Source organism: Homo sapiens, chromosome 11, assembly GCF_000001405.40.
Source record: "Homo sapiens chromosome 11, GRCh38.p14 Primary Assembly".
Lineage (NCBI taxonomy): Eukaryota > Metazoa > Chordata > Mammalia > Primates > Hominidae > Homo > Homo sapiens.
This window is the reverse complement of record NC_000011.10, coordinates 69,569,657-69,578,261: the sequence shown is the minus strand read 5'-3', so window position 1 is coordinate 69,578,261 and position 8,605 is coordinate 69,569,657. Positions and strand designations below refer to the sequence as shown.

Below are 8,605 nucleotides of genomic sequence, written 5' to 3'. Positions count from 1 at the left end.
CATGCTCTTTGGTATTTACCCAAAGGAGTTGAAAACTTATGTCTACACAAAACCTGCACACAGATGTTTAAAGTCGCCTATGCATGATTGCCAACACTCGGAAGCAACCCAGATGTCTTTCAGTAGGTGAAGAGACAAATGAACTGTTGGCTCAATGGCTCACACCTGTAATCCCAGCGCTTTGGGAGGCCGAGGCAGGCGGATCACCTGAGGTCGGGGGTTCGAGACCAGCCCGACCAACATGGAGAAACCCCATCTCTACTGAAAAAACAAAATTAGCTGAGTGTGATGGCACATGCCTGTAATCCCAGCTACTCAGGAGGCTGAGGCAGGAGAATCACTTGAACCCGTGAGGTGGAGGTTGCAGTGAGCCAAAATTGTGCCATTGTACTACAGCCTGGGCAACCAGAGTGAAACTTCGTCTCAAAAAAAAAAAAAAATAGCAATGAGCTGTCAAGCCGTGAAAGATGCAGTAGAACTGTAAATGTATCTTACCAGGTGAAAGAAGACAATCTGAAAAGACTGCACACTGTGTGATTGCAACTCTGTAACTCCAGGAAAGGCAAAACTATGGAGACAGTAAGATGACGTGTGGTTGCCAGGGGCTCGGGGGAGGAAGGAATGAATAGGTGGAGCGCAGGGGACTTAGAGAACACAAGTTCTTATTTCCAATCTGTGCTTGGTTGAATTGGTGGATGAAGAACCTGCGGATACAGAGGGCTGACCGTATTGCATATGACACAGTAAAGATGGATACATGTCATTGTACTACCGTCATAACTCACAAAACCGGCCAGGCACAGTGCCTTACACCTGTAATCCTGGCAATTTGGGAGGCCAAGGCAAGTGGATCACCTGAGGTCAGGAGTTTGAGACCAGCCTGACCAACATGGTGAAAACCCATCTCTACTAAAAATACAAACATTAGCTGGGCATGGTGGCAGGTGCCTGTAATCCCAGGTACTCAGGAGGCTGAGGCAGGAGAATCACTTGAACCCAAGAGGCAGAGGTTGCAGTGAGCCAAGATCGTGCCACGCAACCCAGTCTGGGAGACAGAGCAAGACTCCATCTCAAAAAAAATAAAATCAAAAATTAAAAAAAAAACCCACAGAATGCATGACCCCAAGAGTGAACCCTACTGTAAACTGTGGACTCTAGCAAATAATAATGTACTGCGGTTGGTTCATCACTTGCAGCAAATGTACCAAATCAATGCAAGATGTTAGTGATAGGGAAAGCTGGAGGAGGGATGAGGGAGTAGACGGGAATTCTCTGTACTTTCTGCTCAATTTTTCTGTAAACCTAAAACGGCTAAAAAATTGTCTATTAAATATAAAACAAAATATCGAGAGGGAGACCTATAACATGAGCGATCTGGTAAGGACTCCTTTATAAGGGGGGTCTCTCTTTTCCGAGGGTAGATTCTGGGACAACGAGGCAGCCTTATACAGGGTGTACGTCCTGAGCACACTCTTCAGAGGTGGTCACTGCTTTTAGGACTGATCAGCAGGAGGTATGCAGCTCTGTGCAGAGAAGGTTATGCGGCTGGGTGGGGGAGCCACTTTTGATGTGTGATAATAAAGTCACGGGAAGAATTTCCTAGCATGGCTAAGTATCCCATGAGCAGTGCCCAAATTGCTCTGAGCCAGGCTTGGCATCGGGATCTCTAATCGGACTTCTTTGCAGAGTGAGCTCTCATGTGTTGGACCCAGGCCAGTCTCATTACTGTGCCCTGAACCCCACACTCGGTGGCCCCATTCTTCTAAGATTCTGCCACTGTCCCACCAGCAGGAAGGAAAGAGCTTGGGTTTGCTTTGCAAGCAGTGAATGGATTTAGGCTGTTCTGCAATCAGTCTCTCTCCAGTTCCTCTTGGGGCCAACTGCAAATACCCGGAGATGGCCGGGCTGGGAGGGCAGCCCTGTCCTGGCTAAGGTCAGAGTCAGGGTACCTTGGCCAGCCAGGCTCTGCCCAAAGTCACCGGGTCAGGTGTGCATCTTGAAAGGTTCACAGGTAGGGCTGGGTCCTCTGCTCTGGAGCTCACAGATGTGCAACCTGCCCTGCTCCAGTCTGAAAAGGGGAAGGAATGTGCTTGGGCCTCCCCACCCCCCGCAACCAGCCTGGCACTGATAAGAAGCACAGAGGAGCTGGAAGGGTCCCTGGAGGAAACAGGCTGGAAGTGTGCGGTGACTGACCCAGGGTCACGCATCCAGGAGAGCTTGGCCTGGGCAGACCACGAGCCCACTGCCTTCCCAGGACAGCCCCACAGCTGGCCAGACACTGCCCGCTCAGCCGAAGCGATTCTGTGTGCTCATACAAGTGACCTTTCTACCTCTGGAATACCTGAAAACCAGGCGGACAAAGACACTAAAGCCCACAAGAGTCAGTATCTCCCGCCGCTTAACGCCTTGGGCGTTCTAAATTCCTTCCACCTCCACCACCACCACTTCTCCTGGGCCTGGGAACCCTCCGGGGGGTGTGGGTCCATCCCACATATCTCAGAGACCTTTGGGCAGCCGTCCTGGAAGAGGGACAGGCTGGAGGAAGGTCTCAAAGCTCAGTCAGTGTGGGGAGAGAGAAAGGGAGAGAGACATAGGGAGAGGGAGACAGTAGAGAGAGACAGAAAGAGGGAGATGGAGACAGACAGAAAGAGGGAGACAGAGAGAGACAGAAGGAGACAGAGACAAGGGCAAAGAGACACAGGAGGGAGACACAGAGAGAGACACACAGAGAGAGGGAGACAGAAGGGCAGAGAGAGACAGAGAGGGGAAGATGGAGTCAGAGAGGGAGAGGCAGAAAGAAACAGAGAGAGAAACAAGGACAAAGAGACACAAGAGAAAGACACAGAGAGAGAGACGTGGGACACGGGGAGACAGAGAGAGACAGAGGGGGAGACAGCAAGAGACACATTGGGATAGCAGTAGAGAGAGACAGGGAGACAGAGACAGAGAGAGACAACAACAGAGAGACACAGAGAGAGATGGAGAGGGAGAGACAGGTGATTGAAAGCATCAACTCTTCAGGACTTGAGTAAAGAAACCACGGAGACCCAGCCCCCACCAGGCTGTCAGTCTTGATAGGGTGCCCCCAATGTCCTAGCCGCACCCACTGCCTCACACCCCTGAGGAATATAAACACCTCCAAGGCTGTCCCCAACTTCAAGTGGCTTTGGTCTGACCAAGGTCCAGGGGGGACACACAGAGCAATGAGCGTCTCTCCCTGTAGAAATGGCCTGGACCCGCAGCTTGGTGGGAAGAGGCAGGGCGCCCAGGCTGGTGAAGGAGGCCCTGAGTTCTCGCCCTCGCTCTGCGACCCTGGCCTACCTCTGACTTCCCTGGGCCTCGGTGGTCTTGATGATGAGACATGAGGCTGTTGGCTTGGGGGACAAGGTAGGTGCAGACGGGAGCAAAAGCAGGTGATGGGATAGTGGGGGCAGGAAGCCGTAGGCTCAAGCCGGGTGAAGGGAGAGTTGCAGGGAGTCGGGGACACCTGGGGGTGACACAGGACAGCCGGACCCTGAGTGGATGGTGGGAGGGAGGGTGGGGGCAAGGCCTCCCTCCAGCCACGTGGTTCTCAGCATCTGAATGCACTGCACTTCTGCCACCTCGGTGCTGGGGCAGACTTGATGAGGCCTGGGGTGATGGGGAAAAGCCAGACTCCCAGGCCTCAGCAACAGGTACAGCCAGGAGTAGGGCCCTGGGAACAGAGCTGGGCCGGAGCATGGCCCGTTGGCTTTGTGGACCTGCCACCTCCCTGTCTCTGGGCTGGGCTGGGCTAGGCTTGGCTGGGCTTGGCTGGGGAATCCACCCTTGAGCTGCTCAGCCAGGAAGCCCCCAGACTCACATTAACAGAGGGAGGCACACACGGTTGAAATTTCAGTCAAAACCACCTAAAGCTCTCCAGTGGGTTTTTCTAGACCTTATAGTTGAATTTCCATAACATCTTTACTCTTTCCAAGCGCGGCAGAGCCGTGGGCCTCGTTCCCGGCCCCTGCATTCTCCCCATGGTGCTCTGAAAGCTTCTTATCAGTCGCCTTTCCAGGGCTGGTGGTGGCTTCTGTCTCAGTGAACTCAGCTACCAAGGGACCCCTGATCCAGGCAGGTGGTGCTGCTCTCCTAAGCCAATGGGAAATGCATGGATTATTTTTTCCCTTCCTCCCAAGTGCAGATACCAGCCCGCTTAGGACCCAGGACTTTGCTGCCTGGCCCTAGTACCAAAGAGCTGGCTTATTACCTGGCAAACACAGAGTATTTGAAGGAGAAAAGACTGTGAATCGCTGTTGGATGCCAGAGCCTTTGCATGCAAGAGCTTGGCAGCCTAAAACAGTAAAAACATATTGCATTCCTTCCAGTATTCCTTCGTTGGATACTGCAGAGAACAATTTTAATGTGTAGCTACCCTTTTCTGCATTCTTCAGAAGTTAAAGTCTTAATTAACAAGATGGTCGCATCCATAAGCATCTCAGGGGTGTGCCCAGCTTAAGACTGGAAGACTCAAAGAAGCGACATAGAGTACAAGTAGAGTTCTGATGGTTGGAGTCCTCCCAGGACCCTCAGAGTCACCCAGTGAAAGCCACATGGATGATAAGTGTCAAATTCCATAGGAAAAATAAGGCTGGTGAGCAGATCATAACCAATGTGGTCAAGTCTTTCTTTGCTTTTCAAGGGCCTTGAGCTAAAACTCAAACACAGAAGGCCCTTCCTGACCCCATTTTTAGCCTCACCCTTAGTCCCCCGCCCTCAGCCTGAACTCCAGCCAGTTGTGGGCACCTAACTGAGCAAGACCTCTTCTGCTGCCTCACCTTGGGTGCCAATTTCTCCCCCTTGGATTTCATGGCTCCTCTTCATCACTGGACTGAGTCCTACCTTCCTAGGGTCTCCTCAACTGACACCTCCTCCAGGAAGCCCTCTAATATCCATGGAAGGTGTGGTCCAGGCCTGCCTCAGTGTGGCTACGGCACTCCAGTGTGTCTTCCCAATATCTCTTCCCTCCCTGACCTGCGATTGCCTTCACTTCTGTGTTTGCACACAGGACTGGATTTCAGTACAGCATGAGCAGGCACCTTGGGCATGGTTGACCTTTCCTAAACCGTTTGTGAGACAGATCTTGAAGTCAGAGCTACTTGGAGGCCGCTGGCAGGGTGGTCCCACCTTTTCCTGAGCCCCCCACCCTGGAGACCTGCATGCACACACACGTGTGCTGTGTATATTTGGGAGGACCAGGTGGCAAAGCGTGCAATGGGAGAAGAGACAGCAGCATGTGTGGGGGCCCTGAGGTGGGGACAAGCTCATTGTCTTGGGGGTCCCAGCCCAGGCAGCAGGAGGTTGGAGAGCTGGCAGGAGCGAGCTGATGTTGCTGCTGGGTTCATGGGGACCAGAGCTTGTGTGAGTATGTAACAAACACCATTGGTGCCTGCCCAGATCCCCTTTTTGAGTGAGGGCATCCACCTCCCAGTTGCTGAGGGTCTTGGCTGTCAATGGCACCTGGTGGGTGCTCTTGGGAGCCCCCGATCTTGCTGCCCAGGCAGTTATGGAACACCCCACCTCAAGGGGCAGCCCACACCGGTGACTGCTGGAGGTGGATCAAAGGCTGGCCCAGCCTCGGCGCCAGTGGTGCAGTGGGACTCATGCCCCTGAGCTGCCCTGAGCATTGGGCTAGGGGCAGCCTTTTGCTGAGGCCAGAGCCAGGCCCAGTTCCTCCTCTTGCCTCACCCTGCTGATCCCTCCCAGCAGCTTCCCCAGGAGCCCGCACTCCACAACTCTACTTTGGGCTTGGTGTCCAGAGAGCCTGGTCTCACCCAGGCCACATGTGCCTTGTGCCAGGTCTGACGTCCCCACGTGCTGATGGCTGCCCCTTGGGTAGACAGGAGAGCCCGGAAGATGTGACCCACTGCAGCACTTCCAACAGCGCCCCACCCCCCACCCATCTATCCACCTGGACAGGACGTCCAAGTGTGACATCTCTTCCGAGAAGCAGCCAGATTGTGGTATTTCAAAAGGGGTGTTTTCAAAAATTAAAAGCAACCTAAATGTCCATCATCAAGTGAATGGATAAACACAGTGCCGTCCATCCACATAGAGGAATGCTGTTCAGCAATTGAGGGGAACAAACTAAGGCTGCATGCCACAGCAGGATGGATAGAAAACATTTTGCCCAAGAGAGAAAAGCCCACCACAAGAGACCACACGTTGCGTGATTCCATTCAGATGAAATGTCCAGAAAAGGTAAATCTATAGGGGCAAAAAGGAGCTCAGTGGTTGGCTAGGCAGGGGTGGGAGGTGGAGTGGGTACAGTGGGAATTACCAGTGAGGAGCAGGAGGAACCTTCTTGGGGTGATGAATGGCCCTGCAGCTATATGTTGATGATCGCACCGCTTGGTAAATTTACAAAGACATCATTCACTGGCACACTCAAAACCAGTGAATTATATGATATATAACATACACCCCAATCAAGTTATTTCCACTCCCATAATGGTTCTTATTCCTGGATGAAGGATTTTCTGGGTGTGAGTCTTTGTACAAGACCACCAACATCCCTATATTTTTGTTTTCTTCGGTAAGAGGCAGGTAAAGTCCTTGGCATCAAATATCTGGTTTGCAAAAGCGTTATGAAATTTTGGAAGTTGATCACACAACATGAAAGGTCCTCATTATTTGTTGTTTCTTTGGCTCAGACCCACAGCCAAAACTCTCAACACAAGCAAGAAGTTGTACTCACCATCCGTAAAGGCAGGTCTTTTGGGAACGTGGTTTGTTTAAAGATGATCATCCTCAAAAAATCACTAGACCTTTTTTCTTAGAGCAGAGTTCCTCAGACCTCTTGGGTCAACATCATATGAAAAGCTGGTTAAAAACACAAATTCATGACCCCTGCTCAGACTCAATGAATCAGAACTGCTGGGGCAGCCCAGGAACTTGCATTTTCATTGCTGCCCTGAAAGTCCTTATGTTCAGTATAGGAATGGGGTTCCCATGTGGCAGAAGCCTTTGGCCCAACTTTGCAAAATAAGCCTGGCTGTGGCTGTTGGAGGCTGACTACAGAATAATCCTTAAGCTTGCTAAGTCAGATTGAAAAAGCACATTTGCTATCCAAGGAGCACATTTTGCACTGAGGATCAGGAGGGGTCTGGGAAACCCAACTGTCTAAGTTGCAGCCCCATGAACCTGTGGATCCCGATGACCAAACCCAGGAATCCCCAAGAGCATTGCTTTTGTAAGTAATTTGCACCTTCACCGGGATCTCAGCTGAGCTGGTTTAAAGGTTGCAAATTCTCCTGGTCCACTAGTCACAGGGCCTCGGGACATGAGAGTAGATACTCTGTTGGGTTTTGACCAATTCTTTGGCTTCAAGGCCACCGAACTCCGTGACAGTGGACTGATTCTCATAGGGAACTGGGGTCTAGTCATCACGATATTGCCACAGAAACTCCCACTTCCCACAGGCACATGTGAAATGGGATCGTTGAGAGCCCAGTGGAGGAAATGGAAAACACACAGCCTCTGGGGGTGCCCACTGGGAGTGCCCCTTGGGCATTAGCAGTAACTGGAAAAAAGGCTGAAAAGGTGTTTTTTGAGTGGGCGGTTGGTGGGAAGTGAGGATGGGATCCCCCCAGGAATGAGAGAATGCACACAGGTGGGTTTCCTGAGGTGCAGATGCCCCTGAATTAAAGAGAAGCAGCACTTTAAACTAGGAGCTGGCAGGACCACGTGCTTATCTCCAGCTACTCAGCTCTGGAGTCCTGGGCAACTGTCCTTAGAGTCTGGCAAGGGGAGATGAGGCAGGCGAGGAGAGTCAGAATTCTCTGGCTATCTCTGTACTGATAGGTTGACCAGGATCCTGCCCCAGGCATCCCCTCTGAGAGCAGGAGATAGATGGATAGATGGCCACGGTCCTGCCTAGGCCTGGACCTGGCCCTCCGTCCTGTCCTACAGCATCCCCTAACCCACAGCAGGAATGTAAGACGTGACTTCCTGGCAGCCCCTGCTCTCTCACATCCCTCCAAAAGGCAGGAGGCAAGCCCAAAGCCCAGGGCCCCCAAGAAGGGCTGGAAAAGACTCTCTGGGACATTGGAGCAGGTTGTCACAGCAAGGGCATTACAGAGGGGCCGTATCTTCCAGCCTGCCTCCACTGGGGGCCCTGAGCCCTACTCAAGGGGAGGAGTAGACCAGTAGACCGTGAATTCAACAATCCTGGTGCATGTGCAGAAGCTGCCGCCAGATGGGTCAGAGGAGGGTGTGGGCGAAGCAGATTTGCAGGGGAGGATCGGGAGGCCTGTCCGTGGATCGTATATGGGGAGACGCCAACTGGCATGTGGGAAGGGAGGGCTAGGAGGGAGGTGCGAGGTGAGAGCTGTTGGCCTGTGGATGGTGTTCAAAGCCATTTCCACATCAGCGTGTCCTCAGGGTTCCAAGACAATGCCCATAACCCGTCCCTGCCCAGGCAAGAAGAAGGGGACAGAGACAGGGGTTACAGGCTAAGCCAGTGGTGCCTTCCTTTTCCTGGGAGCCCCACCGAAGGGTGGCTACTTCCTTGGCTTTGCCCAGAACTGGCTCCCAAGGCCACAGGAGAGTGGGGAAGGTGCACATTTGCGCCCACAGGGAGCCT

The 8,605-nt window shown here is 52.5% G+C and overlaps 3 annotated features.

Moving 5' to 3' along the window:
- Positions 1,647–2,209: an enhancer, noted in NCBI's record as "H3K4me1 hESC enhancer chr11:69390821-69391383 (GRCh37/hg19 assembly coordinates)". NCBI's record gives its function as "activates a minimal SCP1, AML or CMV promoter by ChIP-STARR-seq in naive H9 embryonic stem cells {active_cell/tissue: H9 hESC(naive)}" and the evidence as "EXISTENCE:reporter gene assay evidence [ECO:0000049][PMID:30033119]".
- Positions 4,815–4,959: an enhancer, noted in NCBI's record as "145 bp 11:69388143 sequence used in MPRA reporter constructs". NCBI's record gives its function as "activates a minimal TATA-containing promoter with rs652190 allelic activity by MPRAs in C283T melanocytes {active_cell/tissue: C283T}" and the evidence as "EXISTENCE:reporter gene assay evidence [ECO:0000049][PMID:36423637]".
- Position 4,887: a transcriptional cis regulatory region, noted in NCBI's record as "rs652190 or 11:69388143 MPRA-significant variant associated with a GWAS melanoma risk locus at 11q13.3". NCBI's record gives its function as "allelic transcriptional activity by MPRAs in C283T melanocytes {active_cell/tissue: C283T}" and the evidence as "EXISTENCE:reporter gene assay evidence [ECO:0000049][PMID:36423637]".